The 21825-nt window shown below is 37.6% G+C and overlaps 1 protein-coding gene and 1 long non-coding RNA gene across 3 annotated transcripts in view, besides 2 other annotated features; one reads left to right on the forward strand and one right to left on the reverse strand.

Moving 5' to 3' along the window:
• On the reverse strand, nt 1-8059 carry LOC105370497 (uncharacterized). Of its 2 annotated transcripts, none has more exons than XR_007064166.1 (3): nt 7994-8059; nt 4638-6164; nt 1-404 (listed from the first exon to the last, which is right to left on the reverse strand). It is a non-coding gene; the product is annotated as an uncharacterized LOC105370497 (long non-coding RNA). The 2 variants fall into 2 exon arrangements; XR_943863.2 differs by lacking the exon at nt 7994-8059 and adding an exon at nt 6594-6934.
• Nucleotides 6806-7100: an enhancer, noted in NCBI's record as "tiled region #5932; HepG2 Activating DNase unmatched - State 1:Tss, and K562 Activating DNase unmatched - State 1:Tss". NCBI's record gives its function as "activates a minimal TATA promoter and a strong SV40 promoter by Sharpr-MPRA in HepG2 and K562 cells {active_cell/tissue: HepG2 | K562}" and the evidence as "EXISTENCE:reporter gene assay evidence [ECO:0000049][PMID:27701403]".
• The window catches only part of RTRAF (RNA transcription, translation and transport factor), a 21149-nt gene continuing 6344 nt past the window's right edge, over nt 7021-21825 (forward strand). Inside the window, exons 1-7 of the mRNA NM_016039.3 lie at nt 7021-7175; nt 8792-8916; nt 11198-11297; nt 15969-16055; nt 17183-17271; nt 19273-19341; nt 21669-21717. Coding sequence (NP_057123.1) covers nt 7115-7175; nt 8792-8916; nt 11198-11297; nt 15969-16055; nt 17183-17271; nt 19273-19341; nt 21669-21717 — 580 coding nt within the window. The 5' untranslated portion in view covers nt 7021-7114. The remainder of the gene's footprint in view (nt 7176-8791; nt 8917-11197; nt 11298-15968; nt 16056-17182; nt 17272-19272; nt 19342-21668; nt 21718-21825) is intronic.
• Nucleotides 7441-7500: an enhancer, noted in NCBI's record as "active region_8385". NCBI's record gives its function as "activates an Ori minimal core promoter by ATAC-STARR-seq in GM12878 lymphoblastoid cells {active_cell/tissue: GM12878}" and the evidence as "EXISTENCE:reporter gene assay evidence [ECO:0000049][PMID:35858748]".

The following is a 21825-nucleotide window of genomic DNA, read 5'->3' on the forward strand; positions in this document are numbered from 1 at the left end:
TAAAGAGCAAAATTTTTCCCTTTATTATCAAACCTCAATATAGTAGCATATTTACAATATTTTCCAGGGAGCTTTTTAAAAGAAAAGATGTATAAAGAAACTATTGTGCTTTTTCTGAGCCTAGGACAGGAATTGAGGCCAGAATCTCACTGGAAAATTGAAAAATCTCTTTGAATTAAAAGAGTCACAGTGGTGGAGCTGGGAAGTATATGTCTTGTCTGCTAGCAGCTATATTCCTCCCTTTCTTTCTCATGCACTTTTTCTCTCAGGCTTAGAATTTGTTTTTCTATAATTGAAAAATGATCCATGCGGCTGTTCAGCTCTTCCAGCAATGCTGAGTTGTAAACGGGAGGTACGAAGGTGAATAGTTCATACGGATGAGTCTCAATCACCCACAATAATGGCTGAAAAGAGAGTAAAGTGTAATTTGCAAAGGATAATCCCCCCAATCCATTATGCTACACCAGACAATGCAACAGCTTCTGACATTCACCGTTCCCACTCACCTCACCACTGCGATGGCTTCCTAAACTGGTCTCCCAGCTTCTCACTCTCCACCAGCTCCCTTGTATTCTCCACACAGTACCCAGAAAGATCTTACAACCCAAGCCACAGCTTGTCACTCCTGCTTAAAACCTTCAGTGGCTTTCTGATGCACATGGAATAAAGTCCATACTCCACACCATGGCCTCCCTCCTCACTTAACAACAGTACACCCAACCCCCGGCTCACCACCCTCCTACCTCCCTGATCTTCCTTCAGTTTCACAGAAGCAAACCCTTGCTGACAAGGGGCCTTTGTGCTCATGCTTTTGTTCATGCTCTGCCCTTTCCCCATTGGGAAATCCGGTAATAGCTCATATTTGATAGCTGGCTTAGATGTAACCTCCTCCATGAGGCCTCCTCTGACCACCCTATCTAACGTAGGTCCCTTTCTGTTTACCTCCATCTCCTTTGCCTTGCTGTTTCCTGCCTCCCTGTTGGGCTGTAACCTCCATGAAGGGGAGGATCATGTCTGTCTTCATCATTATATCCTGAGTGTCCACCATGGTACATAGCACATGCTGAATGAATGAATGAATGTTCTCCACCCTCGCTCTTTACCCAGGTCGGACATCCTCCTTAACTGACTCATTGTGAGCTACCTAGGCCTTTAGATGTTGATATAGTTTGGATGTTGTCCCCGCCCAAGTTTCACGTTGAATTGTAATCCTCAGTGTTGGAGGTGGGGTCTGATAGGAGGCCACTGAATCATAAGGGCAAATTTCTCATGGATGCTTTAGCACTATCTCCTTGGTACCGTCCTCATGACAGTGGAGTGAGTTCTCACGAGATCAGGTCATTTAAGTGTGTTCCACCTCCCCACTCTCTCTCTTTCTTGCTCCTGTTCTGGCCATGGGACACGCCTGCTCCCACTTCCCCTTCTGCCATGATTGTAAGTTTCCTGAGGCCTCTCCAGAAGCCTAGCAGATGCCAGCACCATGCTTCCTGTACATGCAGAACCGTGAGCTAATTAAACCTTCTTTTTTTTATAAATTACCCAATCTCAACTATTTTTATAGCAATGTGTGAGTGGCCTAATACGTATGTCATGAACACACAATAGTTGTGTCAGACTTTGAAGTAGAAGATAGAATATCTTGTATTCTTCATCAAAAGAGACTTTTACTTAAAATGTTCACAGGTCTGAGAGCCATGGCAGGATCAGGGCAAATCTGTAGGAGTTCACCATCCCCTGCCCCTTCTTCAGCTGGCAGGCTGAACTCAGTGCTGTGGTTTTGGAACCCTGGCAAGTCTGAACCTAAAGTAAAGCGTGCTGTTTGGCACTCAGCTGTCAAGACAATACCTTCTACAAGTTGGTCAAAGGATTTCTGAGGAATGAGATTTCCCAGCCCTCTAAGGTCCCTGCAGTAGCAGCCCCTAATTCCTAGCATCTTGGAGAAAGACTAGTTCTCAAGAATTTGAAACAAAGGGAAAGGTCAGGCCTTTGCAGGCATCTCAGTTAGCAGCTCTGCCTGGTGGGGGTCACTGAGGTACTAGGGAAAGGGAAGAGAGAACAGGAATATGCATGGGAGATCTGTAAAGTAGGTGATCTAAATTTGACTGTATGCTGGTCAATATCATATGACACCATAACCTCTGCCTTATTCATTACCGGCTTTCAAGCATTCAGAGGTGGCTTTTCTGTCACTTTTGGGGGAAGAATCCACATAATCCTATCACCCAAATGTTGATCCCTGTTACTCTGCCCCCAACCCTGCCTCCCTAAACCCCTTCCTCTCCACGTTTTAGGACGCTGTATATTCCTTGTTCTCTTAGTCCTTCCAACCACTTTTCCCATATTCCATGACTCTTCCTCCTACTCCTTAAATATGAATACTGGGTTTTCCTAGGATGAAGTCTTCAGTCCTCTTTTCTTTCCCCGTCTCCTCAGGGACCTTACTGTAACAGTTTCCATCTACAACTTTATGCTGATGGCTCCTCAATGGACATCTCATCCACTCACTCACATTCATTCCTGACATTTCAGTAGTGATTATGGGCTACATCTACAGGACTTCGATTTCAACAGGTGCAGAACTTAATTCTTCAGCTTCCTCAGACTGGTTTCCTTCTACCGGTGCTCCTGTTTCTATGCAAGAATTCACTGCTTATCACATCTCTGATAGGTGACCTTCTAGAAACCTCCTTTAAGCCATCCACCTCCTTCCCATCCTATGTTTAGTCCCACCAAGTCCGTGGATCTTTCTTTCCTTTCTCTCTGGGATCTGTCCTCATGTTAGAACTATTCAGTTGTAAGTTACAAAACCCCAACCAAATCTGGCTCAAGTATAAAATAGATTTTATTGGATCACATCTCAGGAAAGTTGCATCTAGCCCCCTACCAGACATTTTTGGGAATGGCCTGTCTGTGCTTCTTGGCTGTATTGTCCTCTGTGTTGTTTTCACTGTTCGGCAAGTGTTTCCTCTGCAGTATTAGATGTGGAAGGTGAATGCTTTATGCTGTTTGCATGACTACATAAATTCCTATTCATTCCTATTCGTTTTCTACCAATAAAATTGAGTTCTACTGCCCTGCCATTTTGCTTTTAATGCTAAATCATGAAATTCCAGAGCTTGACCTTAAAAAGCAGCAAGTTTTCATATTTAACATAAAGAGTCTCAGAAAGAGATAAAGGAGATGTTTGCTCATCGGGAGGCTCCCCCAGGGAGAGAGACCTTTCTGCATTATACAACTTGTTCCAAAAATTCTGATTTCATGGGGTGTTCAATTGATAACATTCATTAGAATATAAAACCTGTTTTTCTGTGCACTGTAGAGACTTTTGTGGCTATTCCTGGTTATTACCAACTTGTTCTGTTCACTGTTTTCGGAAGACTAATTTGAACAAAGGCTTCTAGTAAAACTGCCAAGACTTTAAAAGTTGTTACAAGTTGTGAAACTGTCCTTCAAAGAGCAACTTTTACCTCTGACTGGTTGCCTTTCTTGATAATGTGTTGCCCTGGCAATACCGTTGAAATGGCCACCTCTACATTTCTGCAACCATATATGCCCTTGCAAATATTTTAGGTTTTGTGAGTCATGTGGTCTATGTTGCATTTATTCAACTCTGCCCTTGTAGCACCAAAGCAGCCAGTTAGCAAATGGGCATGGCTGTGTTCCAATACAACTTTATTTATGTACACTGAAATTTGAATTTTATATAGCTTTCACATGTCATAAAATATTATTATTCTTTTGATTTTTCAACCATTTAAAAATATAAAAACCATTCTTATCTTGGTTTTTTTTTTTTTGAGTACTCCATCTAGAAATCTCTTTCCCCAGATATTTGTGTGGCTAACTTCCTTACCTCCTTCTAGGCTTTCCTTACACTTCACTGTCTCAATGAGGCCCAACCTGACCATCTTGTCTAAAACTGCAACACCCATTATATCCCCACCGCTATTTGTTGCCCCCCTTACCTTGTTATAATTTTCCTATAGTACTTAGAACCTTCTGAATAGTAAATAATGTATTTATTTATTATTGTACTGTTTGTCTTCCCTTGCCCAATGATAAGCTCCCTGAGGTCAGGGTTGTTGTGTTTAAGCTCTCAGATGACTCCAAAATGCCTACAAGATTGCCTGGCATGTAATTGACACTCTAAACACTTTACTGAACAATTCAACAGATGAATTAATAGCCTGTCAAACCTATGATCAACCATTAGATTGGAGTTCAGGTCATTTGATAATAAAAGTTGATTTCCAGATCCTTCCACCAAAAAGACACATGCATTCTCATGTTCATTGCAGCACTGTTCACAATAGCAAAGACGTGGAATCAACCTAGATGCCCATCAGAGGCTGACTGGATAAAGAAAATATGGTACATATACCCCATGGAATACTATGCAGCCATAAAAAGAACAAATATTATGTCCAAATTTGCAGCAATATGGATGCAGCTGGAGGCCGTTATCCTAAGCAAATTAACACAGGAACAGACAACCAAATACCACAGGTTCTCACTTATAAGTGGGAGCTAAACACTGGGTACTTATGAAAACACACACACACAAAAGTTGGTTTCCTTTTCTTGAAGTATACAGAGGGCTTGGTCTTCAGAAATGGAATTATGTAAGATTCACTTACTGTTGGACACTCCATTCAGAATAGGTCAAAGAACTCCTTCAAATTCAGAGAAAAAAAAAGATAACTGGGTTTTAACATAAAAAATGGATTAATATTTATTTTATACTTCTTTCCCAAAGTTTGCTTTATCCCCTGCTCAAGTATCCCCTGACACTTTAGCATTCTGCATCATCTGAATCTTCCTCCAACCTCCCCACTCCTGGTGGTGGCCGGGGCTGATGACTAGGGACAGTCTTAAGTTGCTGACAATGGGGACCCTGAAGTGGAAAGACTAGGCCAGGAGCAAACAACTTCATTTTTTGCCTTGAAAGGTCAATTTCAGAAAACAAATGGTAAGAGATGTTTTTCCTTATTTTTTTAAAGAAATTCATGGTCTGCAATTGTATTTTTCCCCCTTTTTAATTTATTATTTATATGTAAGTATTTATTATTTTCCCTTCCATGATTGGTTCATTTTTTCATTTTTTGGTTAGTATTTCATTAATTATACAACTAGCATGCACTACAATATGAGATTATAGCCATATCTTTGATCAAATTTTGTTGGAAATGAGACACTCTTGAACTGATTTTCTTGATTCACTCTATAAGCACCTTAATTGAAAAATACAGATTATCTTACAGTGCCCCCTTAAAACTAAAGCTGTATTCTAGCCTCTGTACTTCTTTTTATTATTATTATTTTTGAGATGGGGTCTTACATGTTGCACAGGTTGGTGTGATCATGGCTCACTGCAGCCTCAACCTTGCAGGCTCAAGTGATCCTCCCACCTCAGCCTCCTGAGTAGCTGGGTCCACAGGCACACACGAGCATGCCAGGCTAATTTTTCTTTCTTCTTTTTTTTTTTTTTTTAGTTTTAATAGAGACAAAGTCTCACTATGTTGCCTAGGCTGGTCTCAAACTCCTGGGCTTGAACTATCCTCCCACCTCAGCCTCCCAAAGTGCTGGGACTACAGGCATGAGCTTCTGCACCTGGCCTGTACTTCTTTGTAGTACATTTTATATTTCTTGTAATTCACTTACTCTTTCTAACTCCAGATTATAAGTATTTATTTACACATCTATATTTGTCATTATACTTAAACTTCCTGAAAATAGAGACTGTAGTTTACTCATTTGTATGCTCCTCAGATCCTAAGTGTTTAATTAAAATCTTAATTAATGAAATGAAATGAAACGTACATAGTTGGCTTACCCCCAAGAATTTCAATAGCTCCCCTTAGCTTGCCATGAGAGGCTTTTCCTTATCAGAGCCCTGCCTTTGTCTATAGTCTTATCAGCTGTCATTCCCTCTCACCCTCCAGCCCCTATAAGCTCTAGTCCCTCTGGGCCATGCTGTTGCTCATTTCTTGCCTTTATACATCCTCTTCCCTCAAACTAGGTTACCCTTTTGACTGCATGGTGAATGCCTCACCATCTTCAAGCCTTAGTTTATACTTATCTGTTTATTGTTTCCCTCATTAGCCTTTTAAACTCCATGAAAATAGGGGCCTGGTCTGTCTTGTTCACTGCTCTCTCTCCACTGTCTGAAAAGCAAGTAGAGACTGGATCAGGAAAGATCTTAAATACAATAAGGAGTTTTGATTATTTCTAGGGGGTAACCAGGAACCACTAAAACATAAGCAGAGAAAGTTATGTACAGGTTTTTGCTTTAGAAAAATCTCTCTCATCGCTGTATGGAGGAATGGTTTGGAGAACGCAGGACTGGCCCTAAGAAATCAATCAGATAATTAGAGTAAGCAAAAGTGATGAGGATCTGATCTGTGGCTGTATCAGTGGGGTCCGAAAGGAGGTGAGGGATTTGAGAGTTAGGAGAGACAGAATGGCAGGAATTGGTGACCTACTGGATGCTGTGACCGAGGGTGAGGGGGAGTGAGGGACGATCTCGGCTTCAGATTTCACTCTGGCTGAGGATATCTGGAACGATCGCATCGTATTAACAATTGTATGTTTACCTGTGGATCACTCCCAATTAGTCTGAAAGCATCTTACTATAGGGACCTTGCTTTGTAGTCTTTGTATTACCAGTGTTAGAAGAGCACCTGTTATGTAGGAGGAGTAATAAAATGAATGAATGCACTCAAAACACTAAACAGTAATTCTGTAATCCAACGGGAGGTACAGCGAATACCAAAAGCCTACATATACTATTCTCTGCATGCTATAGCAAGAAAGAAAGGAAAGTGGCTTCCCGGTGGTTTTCTGCCTATTGTACAACCAGGAAGCTGACAATAAAGTTTATTTGAGCGTCGACGTGCGCCGACGTGGCCCCGCCTCCCCAGCCGGAGCCGCGATTGGTGGGCATTTGCCGGCGGCCACCGCTTTTAAGCCACGATTGGCGAAGGCCGCCGTCATTTCGGAGCGACTCAGCGCCTGCCCGCCCTCTCGCCGCGTCGCCGGTGCCTGCGCCTCCCGCTCCACCTCGCTTCTTCTCTCCCGGCCGAGGCCCGGGGGACCAGAGCGAGAAGCGGGGACCATGTTCCGACGCAAGTTGACGGCTCTCGACTACCACAACCCCGCCGGCTTCAACTGCAAAGGTGAGGCGGCGGCCTCAGCCCGGCCGCGTGTCCCTGACCTGGGCGGAGGTCCCAGCCTCAGTGCCCGCACCCCACCTCCCCGTCGGGACCCTCGGCGGCCTGGTTTCCGCCGGCAGCCTCCGGGCCCCTCTCCTCTGGGTCGCCACGTACCTCGGCTCTTCGCCGCCCCTTCCCGCCTTTAAAGCCCTCTCACCTACTCCTGTCTCGGCATGTTACTTTCTGCACTTGCTTAACTCCAAGCATCACGTAACTACCTTCTCTGTACATAAAAGGGAGAGCATTCGTCTTTCTCACTCACTATTCAACTCCATGGTTCCCTGGGTAATTAGGCGATACCTTGAGCACCTGCTAATTATGGGCCAGCGCGGTGCTGGATTCTGAGGAAGGTGCTGAGTAACTTGAAGACTAGTTCACTGCCTGCCAGGAGCTAAAGGGACGAGGGGTGGAAGCAATCAGAACCCACTGAGCAGTTTGAGACAGTACACAATGAAATCAGGACCGATCACAGTGGGAGGGTAAGCGCGTGTAGTAACGGGCTAGTTGTGTTATGTGGTGTTGCAAAAAAGTTAATAGCAGATGAGTGGGAAGGTTGAATTGTGAATACAAAGGTATTTGGGATTTTACAGCATTAGAATTTTAAAAAGTAATAACGTTGCTACTCACTGTAACTAAACTGCTACCCACCACTACTCGTTTCCTTTGTATAGTTGTGGCCTGTGATAGACTGGTAAGTTTGAAAGTGATCAAGTATAACTTGTGATACTCAGACCACTGTGTAATTCTCAAGACCTTATAATGGAAGCTTGAATTTGACTCACAAATTGAAAATAATTTCTAAGCAGGATGACAGTGTTTTGTTGATCGCCTGTAGAAGCATATCAAATTATAATCTATTGTTTTTCTACTTTAACAAAAAAGTATCAGTGACAATAGAGCCTTGTTCTGGATTGGAATCTTTGAGTCTCAATGTTCTTATCTGTAAAATGGGATATTACCTACCTCAAAAGAGGTATGGGGAGGATTAAACGAAACAATTATGCACTTAATGTGCAGTTAACATTCCATGACAACAGTTGTCACAGTGTCTTTTTTGTCATTTAATTTCTTTTACTTATTATTTTGTTGTATATTTTACTTTATTACTTTGCTATAAATTTAACCTTGCCCTCCTTCCCCTTTCTGTCCGCAAAGGAACTGGAATATTAATATGTAACACTTAAATAGCAAAACTATGTGCCAGGCACTGTTTTTATCCGTATTTATTTTATTTAAGAAACTTCTTAAATAAAACAACTTCTTTTAATCTTCATAACTCTATGAGGTAAGTTCTATTAGCACCCTCATTTTGTAGCTGAAGAGTCTGAGGCACAGAAAATGTGGGTGATTATCCCAAGTTCACACAACCAGTAAGTATCTGGACCCAGGATTTGAACAGATCATTGTTAATCTGTACTTTCAACTCCAGAATCTGTACTTTCAACTCCCTCTTTTGGTTCAATTAATTTAGTATTTTGAAGTTAAGAAAATTCCACAAGAACATATATCTGAACATATACCTGAGAAGGAGGTATTTTATGTAGTGCTTCTAGTTATTTATGTGATATTTTTTATTGCAGATGAAACAGAATTTAGAAACTTCATCGTTTGGCTTGAAGACCAGAAAATCAGGCACTACAAGATTGAAGACAGAGGGAATTTAAGAAACATCCACAGCAGCGACTGGCCCAAGTTCTTTGAAAAGGTAATGAATTAGGAAGTAAAGTAAAAATACAGAGAGTTTGTCTGAAAAATCATGAAGATGAGCTTAAAATTACTTTCTTCTTTTAAGAAAAAAATGATAATGATCAGTGTTAGGAAAGCTGGATTTCAGGGATTTTGCTTTTTTCTTAGATGTGTCTTTTGCTTTTAGAGCAAATTATTTTATGTCTTCCTACCAAGCTTTCAGTATTAGGTAGAAATAGTTTTCTCTAGAAACATGAAGTTTCTTAAATAAATAATGATGTAAATATTTCGCTTTCCCTTTATGGCCCAAATCAGAATTTTTGTTAAACACAGTACTATTTCTTATATTAAAAGAAGACATTGGCTAGGTGTGATGGCTAACACCTATAATGCCAGCACTTTGGGAGGCTGAGGTGGCAGATCATTTGAGCTCAGGAGTTCTGACAGCAGCCTGGGCAACATGATGAAACCCTGTCTCTACAAGAAAATAGAAAGTTATCTGGGTGTGCTGGCCTGTGTCTGTAGTGTCAGCTAATTGGGAGGCTGAGGTTCTCCAGCCTGGGCGACAGAGTGACACCTTGTCTCAAAAAAAGACATTATTGAGATGCTTGAAAACCAAGACTGTCGTGTTTATGCTTATATTTAATGTAAACAGATATCCCTTGTTGTATGCTAGGGAAATAGTCCTTAAATGATCTCTGGTATATCATATTTTTGTGCCTTGAATCATTTTCCCATTGATTTAGTTTTAGTAACACTTTTGCATAAAAAAGAATTCTCAGATTAGAATAAAAATGCTTTTAGTGTCATTTCTTACATTAAACATTTTCATCAGTTATATTTGATGAGTGAGATATTTTTCTTGAAAAAGGCTAAGTTTTTCATTTGCGAGAGCAGTGTGATTAGGCACTTTCTCCCTAGAATCAGTGATTTTATAAATTAGGGATTGTATAAATTACATCATTGTTATTAACCTTTCCGTGTCTCAATTTTTTCATCAATAAGTGAGGGTAACAATGATACCTATCTCATAAGTGTGGCTTTGTTTTTAATGAGTAATTGTTCACAGAAGTCCCTGGCGCATAGCAAGTGTGATAAGCTTATTACTGCCAATGCCTCTATACTACTACTATTAATACTACTGTATTCTTTTCCTTTGCTCTTAGAAAATATTTTTAAAATTTTCAGTGGACTTCTTAAAACTTTGAAATATATTTTTAGGATTTTATGTTTGTTTATATTACATTTTATGGTCTATTCATGTGTACAAGACAGTACAGAATTCTGCATGTAGAAAGGTATCTGGAGAATATAAAAAATTGTCTAGGCTGGGCACGGTGGCTCATGCCTATAATCCAAGCAGTTTGGGAAGCCAAGATGGGTGGATCACCTGAGGTCAGGGGTTCGAGACCAGCCGGGCCAACGTGGCGAAACCCCGTCTCTACTAAAAACACAAAATTAGCCAGGTGTGGTGGCGCATGTGTGTAATCTCAGCTGCCCAGGGGGCTGAGCCAGGAGAATCATTTGAACTCAGGAGGCGGAGGTTGCAGTGAGCCAAGATTGTGCCATTGCACTCCAGCCTGGGCAACAGAACAAGACTCTGTCTCAAAAAAAAGAAATATGTATGTATGTGTGTGTATATATGTACATATACACACACGTATTTCTGATGTGAAACACCTGGAATGACAGTAAGAATAATTTCAACATATCAGAACCTAAACAGTTATTATCCTTCAAGTTGATTTTATTATAATCTTATATTACATATAATTAATGTTACATATAATACTATTATATGCAACATTTATTTGAATATACAGCTTCTGACATTTATTTAAATTACTTGGTTACACCCTACATGTATGTTACATGGCTACTCTTTTCAGTGGCATTTCCATAATATGAAAGTTAAGGTTTAGATAGATAATGATTTATTGTATATCCTTTTTAAAGTTATTCTTTTTAGTTAATTGCTCTATGTGTATTGAGACTAGGAATCAGAAAGCTTAGATTCTAGTCCCAGGTGTAAGTTGTGTAACCCTTGGCAAGTGTCAATCTCTAGGCCTCAGCTTTCTCATCTATAAAATGAGGAAGTTGTCGTATTCTATTTTTTTTCTTAAGATGATACACTTAAATGTTCCCTTCTGTTGGGTTATATAATTGCATCAAAAGTGTAGTAATGTTATTAAAAAATTGTTAGAGATCCAAACTAAGGTCTCTTTCAACTCTCCCATTCTTTTTTCTGTGACTTTATGGTAATAATGAAACTGGTGGTTTTCTTTTCTTCCCCCTCACAGTATCTCAGAGATGTTAACTGTCCTTTCAAGATTCAAGATCGACAAGAAGCTATTGACTGGCTTCTTGGTTTAGCTGTTAGACTTGAATATGGAGATAATGGTACGTTTTGTGGGGAATGTGTATTTTAAAGAGAGAGGAAAGATGGGAAAGGGAGTGTGAAAATGTAGGGAACTTTGCAGTTTGTTTTGTCTAGTACTATTTTACCTTTGGTTTATTCTTATCACAAGTTAAAAGCACTTTTATTGTCTTTCATTGGTGTTTATATATTTCTGTTAGAATTTGGAAATGGTGCCCTCTGGAGAAGGCTAATTGACTGTCTTCTCACAGAGTAACACTACTTTGATAATATGGTCTGCACCTTAGCCTTTCAAATTAAATTGTTTTTAGTGTCCCAGAATTGATGGGACTTTGAAGTGTTGTTGCAGTAGGTAATTTCTCAAAAGACTGAAACATGTCTAATGCCAATATACATTAATACTCTATAGGCCAGAATATATTACTTATGTTTACTGTCTTAGCACAGATACTTCTATGGTTGGAAGCTTCTGAATGTTAGTACCTATAGTAAAAACAATTTTTCTTTAAACGGGTGTTTTCTCTTATTAGACCATTTCATTTTGAAAGGCCTGCCAACATCTAAATGCAAGATTTGATTATCTTATCTGCATCCCCTGCATTTTGTGTTTTTCGGTTAGTTACAGTCTTCTTAATTATTTACTTTGGAAGCCTTTTTATATCTTGGCTTATCCCTTTCCCTTCATCCCACCTACACTGACTTTTTCTCATGTTTGTTGTATCTTCATTCCCATTGGCATAATCCTAATTCAGGCTCTTGTCACTTTCTGCCAGGAGTATTATAATATCTCCCATTAGTGTCACCTTCTGTTCTTAACTGCATGGCCAACCAAGCTAACTTTCTGAAACGTTAATCTATTTTAGGATGCCACTTACTCCTTGTTTCCAAAGAACAGTTCCAGTTACATATTCATATTAATAAACATACATATCCATAAACACTAATTTCCCATTTTCTATAAAAAGAATTTTAAGCTCCTTAGCATGGTAGTTAATGATGACTGATATCCAACCTGTATTCACATCTTGACATCCCAGCTAAATTAGAATAATAGTGCTTCCTGTTTATATCCCATTTCCCCCTCTGTTTCTTTGTTCACACTTTTCCCTTGGCTAATATACCATTTCATTCTATCTACACATCTAAATCCTACCCATCTTTTTAAGATCCATCTCATATGCTGTCTTATGTCTTAGCAGCAGTATAATTTCCCTCTGAACTTCCATAGCTTTTAACCCTATACATTTTAAGTCATTAACCACTTTCCATTTTGCTTCTATGTCTTATTCGTCCCAGTAATTTGTAAACTGATACTCAGCTTTGATTCCTACATGGTACCTCTCTTAGCTTCCAATTGATGCTGTAACAAATTACTACAAACTCAGTGACTGAAAACACAATTTATTATTTTAGAATGAGAAGGCCAACATTAGCCTCACTGGGTTCATGTCAAGTTGTCAGCAAGGCAGGTTCCTTTTGGAGGCTCTCGGGGGAATCTGTTTCTTTCCTTTTTTAACTTCTAGAGGCTGCCTGAATTCCTTGACTCTGGCCCCTTCTTCCTTCTTCAAGTCTAGCAGCATAGCATTTTCCAGTCTCTTATCTGATTCTGCTTCCATTGTCATAACTTTGTCTCTGGCTCTGATCCTCCTGAGCCCACCTGGATAATCCAGGATAATCCCCTATCTCAAGATCCTTAATTTTATCATATTTGCAAATCTTGCCATGTAAGGTAACACATACACAGGTTCCAGGGATCAGGACATGGACATCTTGGGGGGTACAGGTCAATATTGTGTCTGTCACAGTACCTGACATAGTTTCTTGCACACAACAGGTGCTTATCAATTTCAGTAATGTGTGGCGAATGCAGTATATGTGAGTGTTTACATACACTGATTTGGAGCATCAGCCAATTTTTTGCTGATGCCTCAGACTTAAATTTCAGAAGCCTTATGGCAAAAATCTTAAGGAAAGCTCAATTTGAGACTTCGTTTACTTTTCCATTTAATTTAAAAAAAAAAAACTTTTCTTTCTTTAGAAAATACATGTATTCATAAGCCTTATGGCTTTAGTGTAGTATTGATTTTAGGGCCTTTAACAAGGTCTTTTTATCTACCCTGCTCTGGATTGGTAGGAATTGTATATGAGCCAATTTGTAGCTTATCAAAACTGTTTTTCATTTATTCCCAAATTCTTACATCTCAGTTTATTTGTTTTATTCTATTTGTTCCATTTTTATAACCCGTTAACCTTCAATGGTAGATGCATATGGTCATGTATACCTGCAGTTGACTTTAGTAAGTACATGTATTTCTCAGTAATAGCATGTTCTTTTAGTGAATAAAAGAAGCTTGTGTGTGGAATGTAAATTTTTCAATATTGAAAAAGGAAGTCAACATATACTTGAAGGTGAATGGTATCAAAAGTATATTAAAAGTCTAAGCTAGAAAACAAGTTTTGTTTATTAAAATTCAGAATTGCAAAAACAGACTTGAAAATTGGTCAAATAATACTGTCTCTAATCGGTAGGAGGCGCTGATGTTCTTTTGTGGTTTTACATTGATATGTTGCCTCCTTGACTTTTAAGTTACTTATTTTAAAATTTGCTGAAACCATTGTGAGTTTTTATTATTTGCGCTCTACTATTTTTTGAAGCCTTTTGGTAGCTTGTCAACATGATCAATAACTGAAATTTTTTAAATGTATAATTTCAGATGTATAGAAAAATTACAAAATAGTACAAAGATTTTCATATACCTCAAGTCTACAAATGTAGCGTGTTACCTCATTTGCTTCATCCTTCTCTCTACACAGAGGCACACACCATTTTTTTCCAAACCATTTGATAGTAAATTATAGATGATTCCTTTTTACTCTTAAACACTTTAAAGTGCATTTCCTAAAAACAACTTTGTCTTATATAACCACAGTACAGTGATCAAAATCAGGAAGTTATCTTTGATATACTATTATTTATTCACATTTTACCAAACCCCCCACTTCTCTCGAAAGAAAAAAATAACCCAGAGCAATCCTGGATTATGCACCGCATTAGTTGTTACATCTGTCTTAGTATCTTAAAATCTGGAACAGTTCCTGTCTTTATTTGTGCTTCATGACCCTGACATTTATTTTGTAGAGTGTCCCTCAATTTGGATTTATATGATGTTTCCTCATGATTAGATTTGGGGTTTATACTTTTGTTAGGAGTAACACAGAAGTGATGTGTTCTTTTTAGTGCATCATATTAGGAGATACGTGATAGCGATATGTCCCATTACTAGTTATGTTACTTTGATCACTAGGTTATGGTTTCTCCACTGTAAAGTTACTATTTTCCTCTTTGTAATAAATATATCTTGTGGGGAGGTACTTTGAGACTGTATCAATTATGTTTTTGCGCCTCAAGTTTCCCCCACTAGTTTTAGCAACCATATGATGATTCTTGCCTCAGTCATTTATTATGTTAATCGACAAAAGGTGTTCTCTAATTTCATCATTTTTTCTACATTTATTTGTTGGCTTTCTCTTGTAAGTTTTCCCATCTCTAATTTACTTGTTTAAATCAGTATAGATACATGGATTTTTATTTTATTCAATGGATTATAATCCTTTCTGTCATCACGTATTTTGCTGTTGATACTGTTCCAGATTTGGCCAGTGGAAGCCTTTTTAACTCTGACTTAAATTTTATGCTTTTATTTTTTCCTCGTTTCATTAACAGATCCCATAAGCACTGTATAGCCTAAGATGCCATTTTGAACATTAAGTTTAGTGAATTATTAATAAGTGTTTTTATTTTTGAATTCCTTTGAAGTATTGTTTTTCAAATGAAAATAATAAAATCTACCTTTGGAATTCTGAATTTCAAGTTTCCATGAAATAAGTTTGAGGTTTGTATATGATGGTGTATTTGATGTATTGATTTTTTTGGGGAAAGCAAGGTTTTTGGATTTTATGTACAGCATTCAAAAGAAGATGGGGGGAAGCGTACTTTTTAATGAGTTTGTATTTAATCTTACGTAACCTATACTTAACCCTCCTCCCATTCTTCTACCCCAGATTTCAGAGGAAGCTGTAAAAGCAGATTTTTACCTTCCTAAAATTTACATGTTTGAAATGATTGCCTTTAGAAATGTTAATGAAAAGATATTTGTGTCACATAGTCCAGTAATTGCTTTAGCTTAATCAAAAAGATAGTTACATTGTCTTTTTACATTTTCTATAGCAAAAATTAAGCTTGATTGAATGAATTGTTTTATGCTTATACAGGTTAAGCATCCCTAATCCGAGAATCTGAAATCCTAAATGCTCCAAAATCCAAAACTTTTTGAGCACTGACATGAGGACACAAGTAGAAATTTCCACACATAAGCACTTAACACAAACTTTATTTCATGCACAAAATTATTAAAAATATTATATGAAATTACCTTCAGGCTATGTGTATAAGTTGTACATTGAACATAAAAATGAATTTTGTGTTTAGACTTCAGTCCCATCCCCAAAATATCCCATTTTATATATGCAGATAATCCGAAGTCTGAAAAAATTTAAAATTGGAAATTATTGGCATTTCCAGTAAGGGAAACTCAACCTGTAATCATTTTGGCTCAGTTAAATTTGGTAAATAGCAGTAGTCATTTTACCTTGAGTTGCAGTTGTACAAATTATATTTTTGCCTGTTTTTATAGCTGAAAAATACAAGGATTTAGTACCTGATAATTCAAAAACTGCTGACAATGCAACTAAAAATGCAGAACCATTGATCAATTTGGATGGTGAGTATATAAATGCATAACATTGAACATCAACATTTTTGGTTTTTTAAATGTTTTTTTCTTTGAAGAATGAAGTCCAGGTTTACTTGGTTTTAGTAAATTTAGAAGGATCCATGCAGACAGCATTTATGTTAACATTTTATTCTCTATAATGTTTTTATGATGTGCTTTCTCCTTCCCCTTGCATTTGAATATCTGAATGTTGATTTGATTTGCTTCTAGTAATTTGGAGTTTTGATTTGTATTTAATCATGGGGGTCATTGTTTGCCTTTTTGAATGTGTAAATTTCTTTTAATCCAATGACTCTATCAGACAAGTGGTAAAATTTTCCATTATTTTAAGTCCTGGATATCTTTTAGTAATTTCCCTTTTTAAAAATATGAAGAATCTAATTACCTAAATTATGATGTGTAAAATATTTGTTCACTGGCTAATTCATTGTGACCTATAATTTAGGAGTTAACCCTTTTGAATGAGTGAGCCTCTTGGACACTCCAGAGCTGCTGCTTAGAGAGAAGGTTTTGGGAAAACTATCCATGGAGGGGATCTATGTACTAAAATTAATGGCCTTGGGAAGAAATGTTAATTAAAAGTGCTGTATAATTTAGCCTTGCAGAAAAAGTTACAGGACAAATATAATGTGAGTTAAATTAGTCATTTATTGGATTATTCAGTTTGGCTGATGAAATACAGATACTCCTTGACTTAGGATGAGATCATGTCCCAAAGTCGAAAATATCATAAGTCAAAAATGCATTTAATACCCCGGAAGACCCATTGTAAAGCTGAAAAATTGTAGTTGGAACCACTGTAAGTTCAGATTTTCCTCATCTTGCACTAGGGTTACATCCCACTGAACTCATTGTAAGGTCAAAAAATTACAAGTCTAACCATCCTAAGTTGGGGACCGTCTCATACAGTAATAGGAAAACCATTTTATCTTACCAATTTATTTAATTGTTGATAGTCTACAGGGCTTTCTTTTTTCTCTTGTGAGTAGCAGTTTTAAAAACTAAGAGATTTGTTGCTACCGAAAAGTTAAAAATGTTTTTGTATGTTCACAAATATGTTTGTAATTATACGTTTGCAGGGTTGTAAGTTTTTGTTTGTTTTTAATCTTTTATAGTAAATAATCCTGATTTTAAGGCTGGTGTGATGGCTTTGGCTAACCTGCTTCAGATTCAGCGTCATGATGATTACCTGGTAATGCTTAAGGTCAGCTTCATGTTCTTGATTCTTGACAGAAACTGTGCACATAGAAAAATGTCTTTATTTTCTAAATATTAACTATTGATATTAAAATTATGGTTGAATGACTAAAATACACAGAAGAATATGAAACATAAAGTAGATTTCATGGTTTTATCTGATTTGGATTCTGTTTTCTGCCTGCACTATGCTAAATCCTTTGCAAAGATGTTCTCATTCAATCCTGCCAACAATCCTAGAGACAGCTGCTAATATCTTTTTAAAAATATATATCATATGAAGAAACTGAGACTCAATGAGGATAATGTCTAAGATGACACAGAAAATGACAGAGCCAGGATTTTAAGCACTATAACCCTGTGGTCCATTGTTTTTCCCACATTACCCTACTTCTGTTTAGTTAGTCTTTTTAATGATTCATAGTCTGCATTTGTTAAGATGGTCGAAAATGCCAAATGAGTAATGGTGAATTTGGTCAAAAATATATAACCCCAAAATCTCTTTGAGAAATGAATCTTTCTGTCCCCGATGCTAGATAGGCCACTCAGTTCATAACTATACTTCAGGAATCCCAGTAATCTGAAAGAGGTCTCTTGTTTCTGAGAGAAATCATAAACTTCAGAAGATTTATTCCTAGTAATCGTGAAAGTACAGTGGTGTGGATCAGGGGAGTGGTACTTAAGATACCAGACTTGGAAATTTTATAAGAGATTAAAAGCTTTTAACTAGACCTTGTGCATGTAAACTACTTTGTGATAAATATCACTCTACCCAGAAGAGATTAAGCCATAACTTACCATGCTTTTTAGATTTTTATTATTAAATGTCAGTTTTAACAAGACTGTTGTATTCCTAAGTTATTAAAATTTTCTATACTGAATCTGAATGTTAACTTGGATTTTCTCAATCCAGATTGCATGCCAAAAGACAAAAATGTTTTTAGTGAAATTTAGCTATTTCAAAGGCTTGTTCTTTATTCCGACAATTATGTAAATTGCCTTGGAACTGTTCTATAGTGATCATGTCAGCTTTAATCATAAAGTAAGTGAGAGGAGAGTCAGACAATGCATAGCGTATTTGGGATGCTTTTGTTAGACTTCAAAACCCAAGGGGATAAAGTATAAATCAACTACAACAAAATGCTATAAAATTCTAGTCCTGCTGCACATTTGTCCCTTTTGAGTTATTTTAAGAGGCATTCAAACAATAACATAATATGGAAAACATCTTAGTACGTTTGCCAAGTACAAGCATCAGTATATTAACTGTTTGGCAACCAGACTATTTAATAACATCTGCAATAACTGTTAAACATTGTTTGAATTCGGTTTTTCAAAGATAGCATTTGGTTTTTTATTTAAAAATTATAGTTTAAGTTTTCACACTTATTTTTGAGTTGTAATTGTCATCTTCCTAATTAAAATTCCATTTTTTTAAAATTTGATTTTTAAGTGTGTATGGATACTTGCATGCATGCCTACCATAATGAAATGCCTTGGTGATTAAAACCACCAACGGTGTCCTTTGAAAGGTTTGAAAATATTTTACTAGAGTGAAGTGATAAAAGCAAAGTGTAAGACAGTATGTATGATCTGCTACCCTTTGTGTCAAAAATGTGTATTCGTGCTAAGCATGCTCGTCATTTCGCAGTTTTAGTGAGGGTAAGGAATCTGTAGGGGATCGCAAGGCTCAGGTAGGAAGGAGACCTACTTTTTACCATGTGTCTTGCTGTATTTAAAGTTGTTTTTTACCAGTCACGTGCATTACCTATTCAAAAAATGGTTTTAATTGTTGCAAGCACCATTCAACATTATTAAAATACTAGAAGTGTGAAAGGTTACGTTATATTAGTGGGTTTTTTTTATTTTTAATTTAATGGGGAGTTTATTAATGAACTTAGGTAATTCTGACTTCATCAAAATGAGCATCCTTATTCTCTGGGCTCATAGAAGAAAGGATGACAGGTACACAGCCTATAAAAAGTAAAAATATTTTTGGGTTTCTTAGGCAATTCGGATTTTGGTTCAGGAGCGCCTGACACAGGATGCAGTTGCTAAGGCAAATCAAACAAAAGAGGTACGTTTCTATAAATCCTAAATAAGTTGTTAATGAACATTTCTTCTGGTATGGCCGTGATTTTAAACTTTGCATGTATCTGTTTAAGATATCCATTCTACGTTCTACAACTTAGAGAAAGGATAGCTTACTTCAGTGCTTCCTAAAGCAAATTGAATGTATTCAGTGGCTAGGGGGTCATTTTTGAGTGAAAAACTTCATGTTCCTCTCACTTTGTACCTTAAAAAAGCCACAAATAGCTCATGCACAGTCCACAAATCATGCTTGTGGCCCGTTGAAGTTTATTTAAAATGAGTTACCCATATGAAACTTACTGGATTATTTTGACTCATGCTGGAGAAGAAGGAACACACCTCACTACAAATTAGTTTTCTTTTTCTATCTAAATTCTATCCTTGCTCTTATTTCTTCAGAGTAAATTCTTGTTTTATTCAATTTCCTGGCATAAAACATGAGAAAGTAATTTGGCTAAGGTCACCTAGTTGGTAAGTGACTGAGCTCAGGCAGTCTGACTTGAGAGCCTGTGCTCTTACGGTAGGTGGGGAGAAGGGTCCATGCGTGGATGTCTGCATGAGCTTGTCAGTCTGCCCAGGTGAAGGGACAGGGGGTTCTGTTGGAGTGTAAGGTTCAAGGTACAGGTGACTGAAATGGTATCTTTCAGTCCTACCTTGTAGGCTGAGAAAAGCTATATCCCATGACTACCTTCCCCTTAAAGAGAAAATATGGAACATTTTTAGATTATATCAGAAATCCAAAGATGCCTAAAGTTTCACTGGCTGTGCAGCGGTGGAGAGACTGTCCTCAGGTCAGCAGCAGCAGTGTCTGATAACACCTGCCTCCTGCAGCAATGATGTTGTAGTGAATGCCTTGGGCACAACTATGTTGTTTGTCCTCCCTGCGCCCTTCCCCCATCTCCCAATGCCTTTTGTCCTCCAGCCCCTTTAGGCAGGCCAAGCAGTGTTAAAAGGTTACTAATGCCAGGGCAGTATCTCTGAAAGACACTGTTTTCTTTTAAAGGTTCTTACTGGCTCGTTGTATATGAATCGAGCCACTGGAAGTTGGGTTAAAGATCAGCTTATTTCACCCTCCCTATAGAACAGACAGTAAATTGTTCTGGTGTAATAAAGTCAATCATTCATTCATTCATTCCTTCAGCAAAACTATGCTTTGGAAGGCAGTGTAAGTAAAGGCTTAGCCAAATCTCTTTGCTCTTGTTTGTAAAGTAAAATTTAGTTTTATTTTTAATGCTCCCAATTTTAATTTTGGTGTCATCTCAAAAGATACCAGCCTATAACAATTTAGTGGAGTTCTTACAGTCTAGTGTACTTATAAGCATTTATAACTACTATTTGAGGCATATGGTAGTTTTCAGGGGTAGCTTGGTGGCCTGTTGGCAAAGGAAAAAAAAGTGGAGCCTCTGGTACTAGATGAACATATAAAGCCACTCAGTACAATTCTGCTCTTTAATTTTGCTCACTTGTGCTTTCGTACCCATTGGTTTCTTCAGACTTACATGTGTTAGCTGTTTTAAAGCAGACAGAGCCTACGTAGATTTACATTACTAGATAAGGCAAGAATTGAGCAGTGACTAAAGCATTTGAATAGTAACAGGTTGTAACATTGAAAGATTGAAAGTACGGGTAGTGTGTTTTTCTTGGCAGTGATTTTATATAATCAGCAGGAAGTACAGACTGTCCTCATTTTAGAATTTGTTTCTGTGAAGTTTGGCATCACCATAGTCACCATCTTTAGTATGTCCATAGGTGCTGAGTGGTTTAGTTTTTCATTTTCCTAGACTGTTTGTTTCAAAGTAACTTCCAAGTCAAGTCTTGAAAGTTAAATTATACATAATTATACATAATCTTGGCAAACACCATGCTGGCTGAAAGGTTCGTACAATTTGTAAAGACAAATTAATGTGCTCAGAAATGGAATATAAGGTACTATTTTTGCCGTTTATACTGTTGCTTACTGTCGCCAAAATAAGACAGTAACAGCCTGGCTCAACTTGCCTTCCATAGCAGTAATGACAAGGCACTGCTGCAATAAGGATATATTGTTTTGTATGCCTGGGCTAAAGGATTGGATGAGCTATAGAGCTTCCTGGTACATTTAAAGGTTAACTTTTCCCCCTAACCGGTTGAAATAGGGAAAACTCGCTAATCACAATCATCACAAAGCAAATATAAACAAAATTCCTAGTTCCCTTGCCCATGCAGCTAAAAGAGTTAAGACACCAGAATAGCTAGGTGCTTTTCAGTTTCAGTTGAGGAAAGGATGCTATTCTTAACCATAAATACTCTCATTTTGTCTTTCTTTTTTTAAAGGGCTTACCTGTTGCTTTAGACAAACATATTCTTGGTTTTGACACAGGAGGTAAGTGATTTTGTTTAAATTCAAACTATTTTTTTTACAGACTGAATACTTGGGAGGAAATAAATGGCCTTAAATGTAAAAATTATGTATTGAAGCAGTGTTCTTTTC

The sequence above is a fragment of the Homo sapiens genome, chromosome 14 (genome assembly GCF_000001405.40).
Source record: "Homo sapiens chromosome 14, GRCh38.p14 Primary Assembly".
NCBI classification, from domain to species: domain Eukaryota; kingdom Metazoa; phylum Chordata; class Mammalia; order Primates; family Hominidae; genus Homo; species Homo sapiens.